Source organism: Homo sapiens, chromosome 12 (assembly GCF_000001405.40).
Source record: "Homo sapiens chromosome 12, GRCh38.p14 Primary Assembly".
NCBI classification, from domain to species: domain Eukaryota; kingdom Metazoa; phylum Chordata; class Mammalia; order Primates; family Hominidae; genus Homo; species Homo sapiens.
In genome coordinates, this window is record NC_000012.12 from 111,249,669 (window position 1) to 111,268,379 (window position 18,711).

Genomic DNA, 18,711 nt, shown 5'->3' on the forward strand with positions numbered 1-18,711 from the left:
CTGGTCTCAAACTCCTGACCTCAGGTGATCAGCCTGCCTTGAGCCTTCCAAAGTGCTGGGATTACTGGCATGAGTCACTACGCCCAGCCTAGACCCTATTTTTTAGAGCAGTTTTATTTGGGCTTAGAGAGAATTTGAGCAGAAAGTATAGGGAGTTACCATAGACTCCCTCTTCCCCCACCCCAATTCCCCGATGACTAACATCTCACATTAGCGTGTGGTGCATTTGTTACCGTGATGAACCAGTGTCAAGACACAATTATTCACTATAGTCCATACTTTACGTGAGGGGCCACTCTTTGTGTTGCAAAGTTCTAGGGGCTTTGACAAATGCATGATGTCATGTACCCACCATCACAGTGTCACATAGGACGGTGTCACTGCCATCGGGAATATTTCTTAGTTCTCATGGCTGCTACAAAAAAAAAGGCCAAAGTGGCTGACAAAGAGCTCCTGGTGGGAGCCCACCCCCTTTCCCTTCCACTCAGGGAATCACAGCACATTCAGGTGACAGAAGGGACATTTTAGGGGTGAACCTGAGTTTGTTCTGAATTACCCAAAATGGAAGCCACTTGCCCACTTCAGGTGTGGGGGTGGGGGTGTCACACAGATTCCAGCCCCAAATTCCTTACCACACAACTGGCTCTGAGTCCAAAGACAGCCCCCCGCCCCCCAATTCACACCCTGCCTTGGCCCCTCGTGTGTGTATATTGGAGCCGCCTTCTCAGCCTCTCTGGGCCTCTAAAACAAGAGGACCCAGGGCTGCCCCTGGGAGCGTTTGGAGGCTCAGATGCGCTAATTCCCGTGAAAGGTCTTTGTAAGCTATAAAAAGCTCTAGATTAAAATTGGAAGGTATTATGATTATAATCAGTTAGGCAGAAAAACTGAACTGTTGGCAAAACGAGCCTGGCCTTCGGAGGCTGAGCCTTGGGAAGACATCCTCATCAGTTGCACACAGGGGGCTGGTGGCAATTGTCTGTGGTTTGTTCCTCTGGGAGGAGGTGGCCCAAAAGACACACAGCTGGAAACTGCTTCTGGCTGGAATGGCAAGGTCAGAGCCGGAGCACCCACTCTAGGTTGTTCCTGCGTGCATGACCTGCCAGCCACATGCCAAGCAGCGTGGGGCCATGCTTGTGGCATCAGCAGCTCCCAAAAAGAGAAAACTGGACATAGATGCTTCCCAGAGCCCATGAAAGTGGATCTGGATTCCCAGCTTCATGTACTGGCCACACCCCAGGCAGGGCAGGAAACATAACTTCTGCCCTGGTCTCATCTCCATATATGACCATACAAAGAATTGATACTGCAGCTTTCGGCTCATTATATGAGCGTATAGTGTATTTTTTTTAATACCCAAAAGCGAAATTTATTTGCAAGGCGCTAAAGAAAGCCTCCTGTCCCTTTTATGCCAGGAGCCCTCGGAAGAGAAGAGAAATTGTGGATTTACTGCTAAAAAAAGCCCTGGCTTATACAATTTTAACAATAGAAAAATGATCTTTGTGCTTCGGTGCATGGATGCTTCGAGGAAAACAGGCAGTCTGTTCAGGTAGCTGGTGAATTACAAATGAGTGATTCCCCTTTGTTTTGAGTGACAAGCAATTTAAATGCAGTCTTACGTGGAGGCCTGGAAATTGTTTTTCCCCCAGAAGAGAGAGAACGAGAGGAAAAGGAAAAGGGAAAAAAGCTTCCTTTTGGAACTGAGCGATTATATTAGTTGCCACCGAGCGGAGGTGAGAAGTTAGAACTTCATTTGATAATTATAAAATCAGCAGTTTGTGATTGGACATAATTGATGATTACACTGTTGCTAATAGCAGGCCTGCCAGCCATTGCTTGTGGGACATTTCATTTTTGCACTGCTTCCAAGCCGTGAAAGCCAGCCTGGCACGGAACACCACTCGCGGTATCTCCGGGAGCCTGACATAAATGCATTTGGGGGATTGTATTATGTTGGATCAAAAGTGTTCTTAATGCCGACATTTGAAAACACTTTGCTCTGTGCCTTATTTTTACCCTGGGAATAATTACAAATATTAGAATAAAATTGCATGGTGTTCCTCTTCCTGCAGACCCTCCCCTCAGCCAGAGCCTGGGTGGGTAGGTGGGCTTCCTAGGTCTTGCACTGGCCTCATTAAAATCCCAGCGGTGGTCCAGAGGGGTGCAGGGGATGTTCATGTGAGGACAAGACAATATCTGTCTGTCTCTCTGTCTCTCTATCTGTCTGTATGGGCCAGGATTACAAGGCTCACACGTGTAATCCCGGCGCTTTAGGAGGTCAAGGCAGGAGGATCACTTGAGGCTAAGAGTTCAAGACCAGCCTGGGCAACATAGCAAGACCCCACCTCTACAAAAAAAGAAAACGAAAATATTAGCCAGGCATGGTGGCGTGTGCCTGTAGTCCCAACTACTTGTGAGGCTGAGGCAGGAAGATCGCTTGAGCCCAGGAGTTTGAGGCCACAGTGAGCTATGATGGCACCACACCACTGCACTCCAGCCTGGGTGACAGAGTGAGACCCCATCTCTAAAAGATATGTATATTATATCTGCCTTGGTGAATTAGAATCTAGAATCAATGCACAACTGAGTTTGAAGGAGCCTTCGGCCCATAGCCCAGCACCTTCACTTTACAGATGGGGAAACTGAGGCTCTGAAAGGGAAAATGACTGCCCAAGGTGAATGGGGATGCAGGCCCCAGTTAAAACCAGAACCCAGGTCTCCTCACCCCCAGGCTAGTTTCTCCTCTTTCCTACCCTGCTATTTGCTTCCTCAAGACAAGTGCTGGGACTTCTGGGGCACATCCTGGGCCTCTGTCCCCTCCCTACCAGGGAGCTTGCAAGAGGTCTCCACAGAGCAGTCAGGACCTCAGCTGAGTTTGAGCTACTAGGAGGGCATCATTCTCCACTGTTCTCTGGGAAGCCTCGGGGTTTTAGGTAAGTTTGGCAGCTTGGCAGGATTAGCTCAGGGAGGCTCTTAAGTTCCTTCCTTATATTATTCATGGTTTGTTCATTCAGTCAGTGTTGGTTTATTGCCCACTCTGTGCCCAGCCCCGCCTGGGCTCTGAGGGAGAAAAATGTTAATGTCATAGCAGGAGCCATTGAAGATCATCTAGTAGGCCAGGCGTAGTGGCTCACACCTGTAATCCCAGCAATTTGGGAGACTGAGGCAGGAGGATCACATGAGCCCAGGAGTTCCAGACCAGTGTGGGCAACATAGGGAGACCCCCATCTCTAAATGAATGAATGAATGAATGATTATCCAGTTGTTAAAGCCCCAAGCTGTGGAGTCATCCGTGGCCCCTCTGTTGCTTTTATGCCTCCAACATCCACTCTGTGTTCCCAAGGAGCAAATCCTGTGGCTCGACCTTCACAATCCCAGAATCCTAGCACCACTGCCACCATCCTGCTCTGAGCCGCCTGGGTTGTTCTCCTGGAACTCGGCAGGAGCCACTTCCCTGGTCTCCCTGTTTCCACCCCAGACCCTCAGTCCCTTCTCCGCACAACAGCCAGATGGGTCCTGTTAAAACGCGTGTCAGATCACATGAATCTGCTCTCCTCTGCACAAAACCCTCCCGTGGCTCCTCAGACCCCTTGGAGAAAAAGACTGGGCCCTCGCAGTGACCCCCAGGGCTCTTCCCCCCGACTCACCTCCCGACCCCCTTTCTTCTTCCCCTTCGTCTACCATCTCCCGCCACACCAGCCTCTCTGCTGGCATTCAAACAAGCCAGACAGCCCCTGCCCCAGGGCCTTTGCACCTGCCGTTCTCGCTGTCTGCAATACTCTTTCCCAAAGCTCCCCACGACGCCTTCCCCTCCTGTGGCCCCACATGCCCTGCCCAGGACTCCTGTCACCTCCCTACTCCATTCTCCTCCCCTGCACTTGACGACTGTCCCACATTCTCTTTCATGATTTATTTCATTGCTCGCCTCTGCCTCTAAACATGTCAGCTCCACAGAGGTAGGTGTTTGCGCCAGTCTTGCTTGGTGCTGAATGCCCAGTACCTAGAACAGCCCCATCCCTAGGAGATGCCTGATTAATATCTGTTAAGCAAATAAATGTATTAGGCATCTGTGATGGGTCAAGCACCGTCTTAATGCTTTGCATGTATGATTTTATTTTTATTTCATTTATAAAATACTGTTTTTTTAGAAACAGCCTTTTTTTTTTTTTTGAGATGGAGTCTCACTCTGTTTCCTCAAAAGTAGTTGTGGTTTTTGCCATTTTTGTTTTGTTTTGTTTTTGTTTAGTAGAAACGGAGTTTCACTATGTTGGCCAGGCTGGTCTCGAACTCCTGACCTCAGGCGATCCACCAGCCTCAGCCTCCCAAGGTACTGGGATTGCAGGTGTGAGCCACCATGCCCAGCCATATTCAATTTTTTTAAATGTTAGTCTCTACCCTTGGGATGCCCACTGGCTAGTTGAGGAAATGGAGCAGTGTTTGGATAGAAGCTAGCATTCCTGCAGCCCTGATGTCAGCAGATGCTGACGGATGCGTGGGTGCCCTGTGTTCAGAGGTAGGGATGCTCAGAATCCAGACCAAGCACAAACACCTCCTTTCACTAAAACACAAACACAAATCAGGGTGCCTGGTGCTTCTCCAGACATCCCTAAGGATCACTATGTATTTAGGCACTGGGGGAGGGCTGGCTTGATTCCCTGGGCATGCACATAGTAGGTGCTCAGTATGCACCATCTGCTGCTGTTGCAGAGTTGCTGTGCACCCCGTGCCCATCATCATTGCAGGTTGAGGCATAGAGGGCAGAATCTGGAAGCTGGACCTGCACATCTGAGGAGAGGGGGCCTCAGAGCTCAAGCTCTGAATCACTGACTTACACATGAGGGTTCAAAATGAATTAATGACTTCCACCTGTGAGTTCAGAATGAATTAGTGACTTACACCTGTGAATTCAAACTGAGTGACTTACACCTGAATGCTCAAAACGATTTAATGACTGACACTTGAGGGTCCAAAAATGAATTCGTGACTTATACCTGAAAGTTCAAAAGGAATTAATGACTTACACCTGAGGGTTCAAAATGAATTAGTGACTTACCCCTAAGGATTCAAAATGAATTAGTGACTTACACTTGGGAATTCAAAATGAATTAGTGATTTACATCTGAGAAGGCAAAACAATGACAATGACAGGTGGCCAAATGCGTTAATTCTGTTCCAGCCAAGCAGTCTTTTTTTTTCCTTTTTGAGACGGAGCCTTGCGCTGTCACCCAGGCTGGAGTGCAGTGGCACGATCTTGGCTCACTGCGACCTCTGCCTCCCGGGTTCAAGAGATTCTACTGCCTTAGCCTCCTGAGTAGCTGAGATTACAGGTACTCTCCTAATATTTGTATTTTTAATAGAGACGGGGTTTCACATGTTGGCCAGGCTGGTCTCGAACTCCTGACCACAGATGATCCCTCCGCCTCGGCCTCCCAAAGTGCTGGGATTACAGGCGTGAGCCACCGCACCCAACCTTAATCAGTCTTTAGAACCAGCTAGTGCTGGCTCCTGAAACAGGCTAGGATGGGGCCTCTCTGGGACCCCTGGGTGACCCTCCAGAGGGCCAGAGAGGGTCTCCAATTTCTGCCCCATTTTAGCAGGAGACTGAGAACCCAGTTTGACAACAGTAGCTATCAAAAACAAAAGTCAAACTTATTTCTTATTTAATCCCTGACATTAAAATGTAATTTTCATTTGCTCAGCGGCATCACTGATGGATGGCAGAGAGCACGTTAGCACTCGCCAGGGAACGGGGGCCCCAGCAGACACACCTGGAGGCAGGCAGGGTTGAGTCCTGCAGCTCCTCCTGGCCTCCCGTCCCCCACCTACCTGCCGGCCTGGCTCCTCCAGCTCTTTTGGTTATTCCAGGTGCTTCCACCAGCCCCCAACCAAAGAATCGATTCTGAGTGGAGGCTGAGAAGCATGGGCTTTGCTGTCAGACTAAGCTGCCTCTGAGTCTCAGCTCCCAGCACCATGTGGCCATCACCCTCTGTGCCTCGACATCTTCATCTGTTAAATGGGATAGTCACACCCGCAGCGTGATGAGGGTTAAGCTAATGTGCATCCAGTACATAGCACAGTGCCTGGCACAGAGTCAGTGCTCAGTAGTCACTGTTATCATCAATAATAATGCACAAATCAGCCAATCGAAGTAGCTGTTACCCCCATTTTCCGGGTGGTAGGAAATCAGAAGGGTGCTGTAAAGAAAAGGGATCTTTCACAGGGACTGTCAGAGTGAGTGGGAACCCTCAGGATAGTCTAGCCAGACCTCCCCACATGTGGGTCTCCCTGAGTACCTTTACAGCCTCACAGATACAGGGGCATGTACTTGGATGCCTCCCCTGGTGGGGAGCTCAGTACCTCCCACCCAGACCCCAAAGCACCCCTGAGTGGTCAACAGGAGCCCCTCCCCCTCTGGTACATCTGAGCAAGTCTCGGCCCTGCTTCATGGCTTCCAGGGGTTCTCATCGCTCCTCTCCACGGCCCATCGGCCCCTACCCACCGCACCAAACCTATCTCCCACCACAGCCCCCCTAGCTCTCCATGGCCCTCCTTTCTTCTCTGAGCCCCCCTCGTACTCTTGCCTCTCTTTGCCTTCTGTGTGGCCCCCTGATCTGCATGCCCTAAAGGAACAACCAGCCTTCAGAGGCCATCAAGGGACACCCCTTCCCCTCTGAACCCAGCTCATTCCTTCATTCCCCGATCTCTGGGTTGCCTTTCCATTGCCCGAGTTCATTCTGAGACCCTCCAAGCACCTGCCTCCTCTCGCTTGTCCACCAGTCTTCAGCTTCTTCTGGAATTCCTGCCACATCAGACGTCCACCCCCCATCATCTCTCAGAATCACCCTACCCTCTCCAGAGCCCAGGACCCAGTGGTAGAGGGAGGCTGCTCTCAAAGTATGTTCCACGGAACCCAGGGAAGGAGTTGTGCAGTCTCGATGGCAGGTCCCCCTTTTCATGCCCACAGCACTTGGAGAAGCACAGTTTGCAGCTGCAAGTCTGGGCCCTGGAGTGAGAGGCACCTGGGCACCGATACCACCTCTGCCACTAACTAGTGCTCTCATCTTAGCCAAGTGACTTAACATCCCTGCCCCTTAGTTTCTTTCTTCCTCTGTAGAACAGGGCCGGTCACAATGCTCACATCCTAAAGGTGTGCTTGGGGGAAGGCGGGGATTTCAAAGAAGATGCCTGGAGCACATAGTAAGGCTTAGAACTTGGCACAGAGTGGTTCTCAGTGGCTCCCAGATGTCCCTGCGACCTCAGACAGCTTGGTGGAGCTCAGCCTAGGGGAGGGGGCCCAAATTTTCTGTTTTTAACCACCTGGCTGAAAAGAGCTATGTGGCTAGAACAGGCTTGACTCGCCCCTGGCAGAAGCAGTTCTACACCTGCTGCGTTCATCCTCGGGGGACTAAACACATTGTCACCCCTCGTATCACAGTGGGCTGCGTAAATGCCATGTGCTTCCACAGATGCTGAGCTATTCCTGACAGTGACCTTCTTGAGGGTGTCTGTGGATGGTCTCCACCTCCTCCCTCTTCCCTCCTCCTCCCTCTCCTTCCTCCCCCTCCCACTTCTTCCTCCCCTTCCCTTTTCCCCCTCCTCCTCCCTTTTCCTCTTCCTCCTCCTCCTCCCTCTTCCTCCCACTTCTTCCTCCTCCTCCCTCTTCCTCCCCTTCCTCCTCTTCCTCCTCCGCTTCCTCCTCCTCCTCCCACTTCTTCCTCCCCCTCCCACTTCTTCCTCCCCCTCCCACTTCTTCCTCCCCCTCCCACTTCTTCCTCCCCCTCCCACTTCTTCCTCCCCCTCCCACTTCTTCCTCCCCCTCCCACTTCTTCCTCCCCCTCCCTCTTCTTCCTCCTCCCTCCTTCTCCTCCTCTTTCCTCTTCCTCCTCCTCCCCTTCACTCTTCCTCCTCCTCCTCTTTCCTCTCCCTCCTCCTTCTCCTCCTCACTCTTCCTCCTCCCTGCTCTTCCTCCTCCCTCTTCCTCCTCCTTCCTCCTCCTCCCTCTTCCCCCCTCTTCCTCCCTCCTCCTTCCCCTTCCTCCTCATTCTCCATCTTCCTCCTCTTCCTCTTCCTCCTCTTTCTTCTCCTCTTCCTCCCTCTTTCTCCCCTTCCTCCATCCTCCTCCTCCTCTTCCTGTCTTTTTCTCCTCCTTTCCACATGGCCTTCAAGGGTGTTCCTGTCATAGGGCAAATCTGTCATTCTGGGCACTTTGCTGCTGCCCTTCTGTGTGGTTGGGCAGAGCCATGAGACAGAAACACACAGCCTTTTATTGAACATGGCCTTTTATGCCAAGCTCACTTGTTCTCAGCATGTGGGTGAAATGCATTGAGTTTCAGCCCTTGGAAAAGATATCCTATGTGATTAGAAGAAGAATTTTCTGATTTATTTGAAAGCTTTCATCAGCTTCCATGGGACTCTTTGCTGCATGTTAGCTCATCCTGCCCCAACAGCTTTGTAGGCAGGTAGAGGTTATTCTTCCCACTTGATGCACGGACAAACTGGGGCCAAGAGATGCTCATAGTGACATTAGGCCCAGTACCAGGTCAGGCTCTGATGCCATCAGGAATTTAAGGACCGCGGTGGCTCACGCGTGTAATCCCAGCACCTTGGGAGGCCAAGGCGGGCGGATCACCTGATGTCAGAAGTTTGAGACCAGACTGGCCAACATGGTGAAACCCCGTCTCTACTAAAAGTATAAAAATTAGCCAGGCGTGGTAGTGCATGCCTGTAATTCCAGCTACTCAAGAGGCTGAGGCAGGAGAATCACTTGAACCTGGGAGGTGGAGGTTGCAGTGAGCTGAGATTGCGCCACTGCACTCCAACCTGGGCGACAGAGCAAGACTCCATCTCAAAAAAAAAAAAAAAAAAAGAGGAATTTAGGGACCTGGCCTTCCACAGACAGCCAGTCATTGCCTTGAAACGAGACTGAATGAGGCAGGAAATCTACACGGCTCCTGTCTTTGAAAGTCCGTTGACTTTGGGAAGCCCTAAACATGAACTGATTCACACTGAGTGCCAGTCCAGGATTTCTTTTGATTGTAAAGATAGAGTCTCATTCTATTGCTCAGGCTGATGTGCAGTGGTGTGATCACAGCTCACTGCAGCCTCGAACTCCTGGGCTCAAGCGAGTCTCCTACTTCAGCCTCCTGAGTAGCTAGGACTGCAGGGGTGCACCACCACACCTGACTAATTTTTTCAGGATTATTTTTCTTTTTTTGAAACAGGGTCTTTTTCTGTTGTCCAGGCTAGAGTGCAGTGACACAAGTGCACTTAGAGTGCATTGCAGCCTAAACCTCCCAGACTCAAGTGATCCCCCTTTCTCAGCCTCCCAAGTAGCTGGGACCACAGGTGTAGACCACCACACCCAGCTGTGTGTGTGTGTGTGTGTGTGTGTGTGTGTGTGTGTGTGTTTGTGTGTGTGTGTGGAGATAGGGTCTTGCTATGTTGCCAGGCTGGTCTTAAACTCCTGGACTCAAGTGATCCTCCCACCTTGGCCTCCCAAGTGCTGAGATTATAGGTGTGAGCCACTGTACCTGGCCTCAGGATAATTTCTTATCTCTGTTTTTAAAAATATTATCCAGCTGTTAGATGAACCCCTAAAGCAAGGATCAGCTAACTTTTTTCTGTAAGGGGCCAGATAGAAAATATTTTTAGTCTCGCGGGCCACAAAGTCTCTTTCACAACTACACAACTCTGTCCTTGTAACATAAAAGCAGCCATAGACACGTAAAACAGTGACCATGCCTTTGTTCCAATAAAACTTTATTTACACAAACAGATGAAGGGCCAGATTCACACCAAGGACCAAAGATTGCCAACCATTGATCCATGAGATCAACAGTGTCCAGCAGGAAAAGAACACAAGCCACATTTGTAATTTAAAATTTCTAGTAGTTACAATTTAAAAAGTAAGAAGTGTAGCTGGACGCAGTGCCTCACACCTGTATTCCCATCACTTTGGGAGGCTGAGGCAGGCAAATCACTTGAGATCAGGAGTTCAAGACCAGCTTGAGCAATATGTTGAAACCCCGTCTCTACTAAAAATACAAAGATTAGCCAGGTGTGTGGTGCACATCTGTAATTGCAGCTACTCTGCACTCCAGCCTGGGTGACAAAGTGAGACTCTGTCTCAAAAAAAAAAAAAAAAAAGAAATTAAGAAGTGGGTGAATTTAATTTTAATAATATATTTTATTTAGCCTGATATGTTCATAACACTAGCATTTCAAAATGTAATCAATATAAAAATTATTGGCTTTGGGAGGCCGAGGCGGGTGGATTGCCCGAGCTCAGGAGTTTGAGACTGGCCTGGGCAACATGGTAAAACCCTGTCTCTACTAAAATACAAAAAAATTAGCCAGGCGTGGTGGTGGGCACCTGTAATCCCAGCTACTCAGGAGGCTGAGGCAGGAGAATTGCTTGAACCTGGGAGGCAGAGGTTGCAGTGAGCCGAGATCACACCACTGCACTCCAGCCTAGGCAATACAGCGAGACTGTCCAAAAAAAATTTTTTTTTAATTATTGCCGGGCGCGGTGGCTCACACCTGTAATCCCAGCACTTTGGGAGGCCGAGGCGGGCAGATCATGAGGTCAGGAGCTCGAGACCATCCTGGCTAACACGGTGAAACCCCGTCTCTACTGAAAATACAAAAAATTAGCCAGGCATGGTGGCGGGCGCCTGTAATCCCAGCTACTCGGGAGGCTGAGGCAGGAGGATGGCGTGAACCCAGAAGGTGGAGCTTGCAGTGAGCCAAGATCGTGCCACTGCACTCCAGCCTGGGCTACAGAGCGAGACTCTGTCTCAGGAAAAAAAAAAAAGTATTGGGGTATTTTACATTCCTTTTTCTTTCTTAGACTTAGAAATGCTATATTTTACACTTACAACCCATCTCAGTTTGAAATCGTTGCATTTCAAGTGCTCAGTAGCACATGGACCGGTGGCTGCCTTATTGAACAGCTCCGCTCCAGTGGGGAAAACTTAAGACCAAAACTGTCATCCTCCTTATAATGTTAGATTTAGTCTTCCCCACTGGAAGAGATAAATCATGGACCATTATACACTGATAAGTGCCATGAAGGGAAAGTAGGGGGTGCTCTAGGCAGGGACAGGGAAACATTAAAGGAATCTTCCAGCACTTGTCCCCACCCTTGCTCAGTCTCTCATTGGAGGCCAGTGCCTTTCCTCAGACCCCAGCCACCACATGCACTCAGCTCAGGCAACCGTAAAATGGAACATTGAGTCATTCTTCTGGCTGGTCTTTGATAATTCTCCTTCTAAGACCCATGAGATGAATTGCTTTTGTTTCTCATTGTTTTCTTGGGTGCCAAGTCACCAGCACCGCAGCCTCTCGCCCAGGGCAGCTGTAGTTGGCTTGTAAGGCAGCGGCATCCTCATGGGCTCTGAACACCCGGCCCCACTGGCTGGGGTAATTTTTCTATCCAGGACAAAAGGAAGGCAGCATTTGAATTCAGAGTGGCAATTTGAATCCCCAGACCTGGTGTGAATCTTGGCCCTGCCATTTGCTAACCGGGTGACCTTGGGCAAGTGGCTTGACGTCCTTGAGCCTCCGTTTTCTAATCTGTATGATGGGGCAGGTGGCAGCAGCCATTCGGTGATTGATGTGTCCGTGGAGACAGACTCTCATGAATAGTAAAAGCTTCTGGCACACAGTAAACGGTCGATGCCATTTGTTTTTATTAGCCCATCAGGGATGCCCCCCGCCCCCGCCCCAAGATTCTGAATGAATTGCCCCCTCCTCAGGGCTCACAGGAGCCACCAGTGTTTGCACCTCCTCCTGTGCATTTGTTTTGTTTGTAAAGATAGGGTCTCATTCTATTGCCCAGGCTGGTGTGCAGTGGTTACGCTTCCTACTGGCCATAGCTGTGTCTCCCACTCAATTGCATGTCCCCAGAAACTCACTCTTGTCCATCTAAGCAAGGACAAAAATCTACCCACAGGGCCAGGCGCAGTGGCTCATGCCTGTAATCCCAGCACTGTGGGAGGCCGAGGTGGGCAGATCACTTGAGGTGAGGAGTTCGAGACCAGCCTGGCCAACATGGCGAAACCTCATGTCTACTAAAAATACAAAAAAATTAGCCAGGTATGGTGGCGGGTGCCTGTAATCTCAGCTACTTGGTAGGCTGAGGCTGAGGAGAATTGCTGGAACCCAGAAGGCAGAGGTTACAGTGAGCCAAGATTGTGCCACTGCACTGCAGCCTGGGCAACAGAGAAAGACTCTGTCTCTAAATAAATAAATAAATAAAATTTAAATTTAAAAAAGACCTACCTACAGCTTGGTGATTTTCCCTTTGTCTAGCTTCTAGAACTTTTTTTCTGCCCTCCCCCAAGTGACTTCCCCTTCTCAGGGAGATAATTCCTGATGTTCTGTTACCAAACTGGGTCAGCCTCCCCCCAATTTACACACTCCCAAGGCCACCCTGTGCTTTTCTGCCAAGCGTTTAGCACTTGTAATTAATGAGTCATCTGGGGAAGCTGCCTTAATGCCAGTGTCCCCACCGGACTGTAAGTCCCATAAGGGTGGGACATGAGTCTGCCTTATTCATGGCTGGGTTCTCAGCCCACAGTGCTTGGTGCATAGCAGGTGCTCAGGAAACATTTGTTGAGGGAATGAGAGACTGTCATCCATGCTGGAAGGTGAGAGACCAGGGACTTTCTCAGACTAACAATGAGAGAAATTACAGAGATTTTGTAATGGATCTTTTTTTTTTTTTTTTTAAGATAGGGTCTCACTCTATTGCCCAGGCTGAAGTGCAGTGGTGCAATCATAGCTCATGGCAGCCTCGAAATCCTGGCCTCAAACAATCCTCTTACCTCAGCCTCCTGAGTAGCTGGGACAACAGGCACGAGCCACCCTGCCTGGCTAATTTTTTTATCTTTTGTAGAAACAGGGTCTCACTATGTTGCTCAGGCTGGTTTCGAACTCCTGAGCTCAAACAATCCTCCCGCCTCAGCCTCCCAAAGCACTGGGATTAAAGGCATGAGTCAGCACTCCCAGCCTAAAACTAACCTTTTTTAATCACTTTAATCACCAATACATTTCCACCTCTTTTAAAGAGGGTAATTCTGTTACCCTCCAACATTTGTTAAAGTTGTTTGATATCTTACGAGAGCTTTAACAATTTCTCTTTCATTTTTAGTGGCAAGAAATATTCTCTAGACGTGTCCCACTTTCCTCCTAAAACATGTATCATATTTGAACTTCCAGTCTACCCTTTACTAATAAGAAGAATAACAGGTGTCACCAACACACCGTGTGCCGGGCCCTGTGCTTAGCACTTAGGTGCGGCTCCATTTAATCCCAACAGGAGGTAGGTCCTGTTATTTACCCCGCATTTTACAGATGAAGAAACTGAGAATCAGAGAGGGGCAGTGCAAGGTCACACAGCCTGCACACAGTGGAGCTGGGCTTTCAACCCAGATTTTCTAACTCCAGAGCCCACACTTTTAACCTTCATTTCTCCTTCTTGCCCCTCCCCTATCCCATGTTTGCACAAGTAGAAAATGACTAAGGCCAGGTGCGGTGGTGGCCTGTAATCCCGGCACTTTGGGAGGCCGAGGCAGGGGAATCGCAGGAGGTCGAGACAAGCCTGGGCAACCTGTAGCAAGACCCCATCGCTTAAACAAACAAGAAAAAAAATACATGGCCAGCCATGGTGGCTCATGCCTGTAATCCCAGAACTTTGGGAGGCCAAGGTGGGCAGATAACCTGAGGTCAAGAGTTTGAGACCATCCTGGCCAACGTGGTCAAACCGTCTCTACCAAAAGTACAAAAAAATTAGCTGGGCATGGTGGCAGGCACCTGTAGTGGTAGCAGGCACCTGTAATCCCAGCTACTCAGGAGGCTGAGGCAGAAGAATTACTTGAACCCAGGAGGCGGAGGTTACAGTGAGCTGAGATCATTCTATGGCACTCCAGCCTGGGCGACAGAGCAAGACTCTCTCTCAAAAACAAAACAAAACAAAACAAAACAAAACAAAAAACCTGCAGATGTTTTCTTGTGGAAAAAAAAAATGATGAAATTTGCTTGCAGACACAGATGCCATGGTTACACGTGACTCTTTCTCTTGTTGTCTCCAAAGGTGGTGGCCCTTAGTAAGAGAAGTCAGGAGGCGGAGGCTGCTTTTCTGAGTGTTTACAAGCAATTAATTGAAGCACCAGGTAAGAAATGCTTGGGCTCCGTAATTGAATAGTTAACGACAATAAATAGCCATTAGGACTGTGACACAGGGACTTTGAGGTGGGATGTGGGGACATGCCTGGGCTCCTGGGTGAGGCCAGGCACTCTGTATAGGGCAGGGGGAGCTGTGGCCAGTCTGGTGTGACATGTCCCCCCAGGGCTCCCCCCATCTTCCTTCATCATGTTGTCACATCAGCCAGGAGCCTGCTTTAGGGGGACTCCTGATGAGATATCCCACCTGGACCTACTTGGGGAGCTGAAATCTTACCCACTAGAGCCCCCATCCCATTAGCACAGAAGACTGAGGGCACCCAGTGCTCTCTGCCTGCAGGTGGCAATAGAGGCAAGACCTCCAGTACCTCCCCCAGAATGGCACAGCCAACCCCAAAAATCTGCTGTTGAGTAAAAGCCAGCCCCAGAAGAGCACATCCTGTAGGATTCCACCTACAGAAAATCTAAAAACAGACAATTAATGTTACTCAGTGGTCAAAAGGGGGAAGCAATCCATATGGCCATCAATGGATGGATGCATAAACAAAATGTGGCCTAGACTTACAAGGGAGTATTACTCCCTTTCCATGAAAAGGCATGGAGGGCCGGGTACAGGGGATCACGCCTGTAATCTCAGCACTTTAGGAGGCCGAGGTGGGCCGATCACCTGAGGTCAGGAGTTCGAGACCAGTCTGGCCAACCCAGCGGTTTTAGTAGAAATCCCATCTCTACTAAAAATACAAAAATTAGCCAGGTGTGGTGGTGGGCACCTGTAATCGCAGCTGCTCGGGAGGCTGAGACAGGAGAATCGCTTGAACCCAGAAGGTGGAGATTGCAGTGAGCTGAGATCATGCCTGCACTCCAGCCTGGATGACAGAGCAAGACTGTCCTCTGTCTCAAATAAAAAAGGAATGGAGCTGTGATATGTGCTTCAGTGAAGATGAACCTCGAAAACACAGTGCTGAGTGAAGGAAGCCAGAAACCAAGGCCACATAGTGTAGGATTTCATTTACATGAAACATCCAGAACAGGCAAGCCGTAGATAAGAGTCGATTGTTGGTTGCCCGGGGCTGGGGAGGGAGATTGGAGAGTGACTGCTTAATCGGTATGAGTTTCTTTTTGGGGGATAAAAATATTCTGGAACTAAGTGAACAAGTGGTTGTAGAACATCAAGAATGTACTAAATGTCATTGAATTGTTCACGTTAAAATGATAAATTTTCTGTTGTATGAATTTCACCTTAATTGAAAAAAAAAGTCAACCTGTACTATTGGAAATCAAGATAGTGGTTTCAAACACTTGAAGGGGGCCAAGAGTTCCTGGGAGGGGCCTCTGGGTGCTGGGACTGTGGTTTCTCGGTCCTGGTTTGGGTTACAGTTTGAGAACATTTGGTTGTACACAAAGGATCTATACATATGCCAGACATCCATAAAAGCTTCCCCTATTTTATTTTATTTTATTTTTATTTTATTTTATTTTATTTTATTTTATTTTATTTTATTTTATTTTTGAGACAGGGTCTTGCTCTGTTGCCCAGGCTGGAGTGCAGTAGCGCGATCTCAGCTCACTGCAACCTCCGCCTCCCGGGTTCAAGCAATTCTCCTGCCTCAGCCTCCCGAGTAGCTGGGATTACAGGCATGCACCACCATTCCCGGCTAATTTTTTGTATTTTTAGTAGAGACAGGGTTGCCCTATGTTGGCCAGCCTGGTCTCAAACTCCTGGCCTCAAGTGATCCGCCCACCTCAGCCTCCCAAAGTGCTAGGATTACAGATGTGAGCCACCGCACCCGGCCAAAACTTTCCCTTGTTTTAAATGGCCCATCCCCTGCTACCTTCTCATTTACTGACCCAGAAACAGGAGCCCAAAGAGTTGAAATGATCTGCTTACCAATGGCAGAGCCCGGAGGAGGCCTTGCTGTGCTAACTCTCCCCACCCAGACCTCTCCCAGTCCTTTCCCCCATCCTTCCACACAGTGGCAGGAATCAGCACTACGGGAGGTGTTTGAGGCTGGGGGCCTGTGAAGAGGAAAATGACATCCCACCCTCAGCTGTCCGACTGCAAAACCCAAACCACAGAGAACACAGAGTCATTTAGATTAGATGTCAAGGTCATTTCTGGGATCTTTGTATTTGGGGTGGGAAAGTCCACTGTTCCTCTGTCTGGGGCAACTGTAGTGGGTTGGATAGTGTGGCCTCCAAAATTTATGTCTACGTAGAACTTCAAAATATGACCTTATTTGAAAATAAGTCTTTGCAGATGTAATTAGCTAAGGATCTCAAGATGAGATCATCCTGGCTTTAGGGTGAGCCCTAAATCCAATGACTGGTGTTGTAAGAAGTATGGGGCCAGGCACAGTGGCTCAAAGCCTGTAATCCCAGCACTTTGGGAGACAGAGGCAGGAGGATCACTTGAGGTCAGAAGTTCAAGACAACCCTGGTCAACATGGGGAAACCCCATGTCTACTAAAAATACAAAAATTAGCCAGGTGTGGTAGCCTGTATTCCCAGCTACTCAAGAGGCTGAGGCAGGAGAATCGCTTGAACCCAGGAGGCGGAGGTTGCAATGAGCCGAGATCACAACACTGCACTCCAGCCTGGGTGACAGAGCAAGACCCTGTCTCAACAAAAAAAAAAAAAAAAGAGACGAGGGTACAGAGATAGCCACTGAGGAAAGCTGTGTAAAAACAGAGGCACGGTGGAAATGATGTAGCTACAAGGCAAGGAGCACCAAAGATTGCCAGCAACCATGAGAAACTGGGAGAGACAAGAAGGATCCTTCCCTAGAGTCTTCAGAAGGAGTACAGCCCTGCCAGTGTCTTGATGTTGGACTTATGGTCCCCAGAACTACAAGACAATAAGTGTCTGTTGTTTTCAGCCCCCAGTTGGTGGTGCTTTTCTACTGCAGCGCTGGGACACTAATCCAGCAATGCTGACAAAGCTTGCCCTCCGACAGCGTGTGGCCTGGATGAAGAGGGAGGTCTTCTGGCCTGTTGCTACTCAAAGTGTGGTCTGTGGACCAGAAACATCAGCCTCACCTGCAAGCTGGTTAGAAATGCAGAGGCTCAGCCGCAGGTGGCGGCTCATGCCTGTAATGCCAGCACTTTGGGAGGCCCAGGTGGGAGGATCACTTGAAGCCAGGAGTTTGAGACCAGCCTAGGCAACATGGAGAAACCCTGTCTCTACAAAAAAAATACAAAAATTATCTGGGCATGGTCGTGGGCGCCTGTGGTCCTAGCTACTTGGGAAGCTGTGGTGGGAGAATTGCTTGAACCCAGGAGGTGGAGGTTGCAGTGAGCTAAGATTGTGCCACTGCATTCCAGCCTGGGTGACAGAGCAAGACCCTGTCAAAAAAAAAAAAAAAAAAAAAAGAAAGAAAGGGAGGGAGGGAGGAAGGAAGGACTACAGAGTCTCAGGCCCCATCCCCGGCCCACAGAATCAGCTTCTGCATTTTATCAAGCTCCCCTGTGATCTTGGAGCATGGGAAAGTTTGAGCGCACAGGCCTGATATAGAAGTTGCCTTTGTTCTGTGCTCTGCGTTTCACACGCCCCATGGGAGCAGGTCCAAGCAACTCGCTTCTCTGTGGCACAGAGAGGTTGAGCCCGATGCCCAAGGTCTCACAGGCAGGGAGAGATGTGACTCGGGTCTCATCATGTATAACAAATATTTCCAGACTCTGCTCCGTGTGACAAGCTGGCTGCACGTGGAAGGCTGAGTTAGTTTCCTACGGCTGTTGTAATAAATTACCATGGATGCCTTAAAACAACAGAGATTCATTCCGTCCCTGTTCTGAAGGCCACAGGCCCAAGATCAAGGTGTCAACAGGGCTATACTTTCTCTGAAGGCTCAGGGGAGGATCCTTCCTGGCTTCTTCCAGCTTCTGGTGGCTCCAGGTGTCCCTTGGCTTATGGCTATATCACTCCAATGTCTCCTCTGTATCTTTGTCTCAATCTCCCTCTCCTTTCTCTCTCTCTCTCCTTTTAAAAAATATATATGAGGTCTTGCTTAACAAAGCCCAGGCTGGAGTGCAGTAGTGTGATCATAGCTCACTGCAACCTCAGACTTCTGGGCTCAAACAATCTTCCTGCCTCAGCCTCCCAAGCCCAGCTAATTTTTTAAATTTATTTTTTGTAGTCCCAAAGTCTCACTATGTTACCCAGACTGGTCTCAAACTCCTGGCCTCAAGTGATCCTCCCACCTCTGCCTCCTGAATAGCTGGGATTACAGGTGTAAGCCACTGTACCCAACCTCCTTTCTCTTATAATGACACTTGTCATTAGATTTTGGGGCCACCTGGATAATCCAGGTTGATTTCATCTCAAGATCCTTAATTATATCGGCAAAGACACTTTGGTTTTTGTTTGTTTTTTGTTTTTTGTTTTTTGTTTTTTTTAAGAGACAGGGTCTTGCTCTGTTTCCCAGGTTGAAGTACAGTGGTGCAATCTTGGCTCACTGCAGCCTTGACCTCCTGAGCTCAAGTGATCCTCCCACCTCAGCCTCCCGAATGGCTGGGTCTGCAGGTGCAGCCACCA

General features: G+C 49.2%; 1 protein-coding gene across 7 annotated transcripts in view; it reads left to right on the forward strand.

Moving 5' to 3' along the window:
- CUX2 (cut like homeobox 2) overlaps positions 1 to 18,711 on the forward strand; it is a 316,390-nt gene that overhangs the window by 215,504 nt on the left and 82,175 nt on the right. For all 7 annotated transcript variants that reach the window (XM_017019081.2, NM_015267.4, XM_011538069.3 and 4 more), the window contains one exon: positions 14,093 to 14,171. In XM_017019081.2, the coding sequence (XP_016874570.1) occupies positions 14,093 to 14,171 (79 nt within the window). The remainder of the gene's footprint in view (positions 1 to 14,092; positions 14,172 to 18,711) is intronic.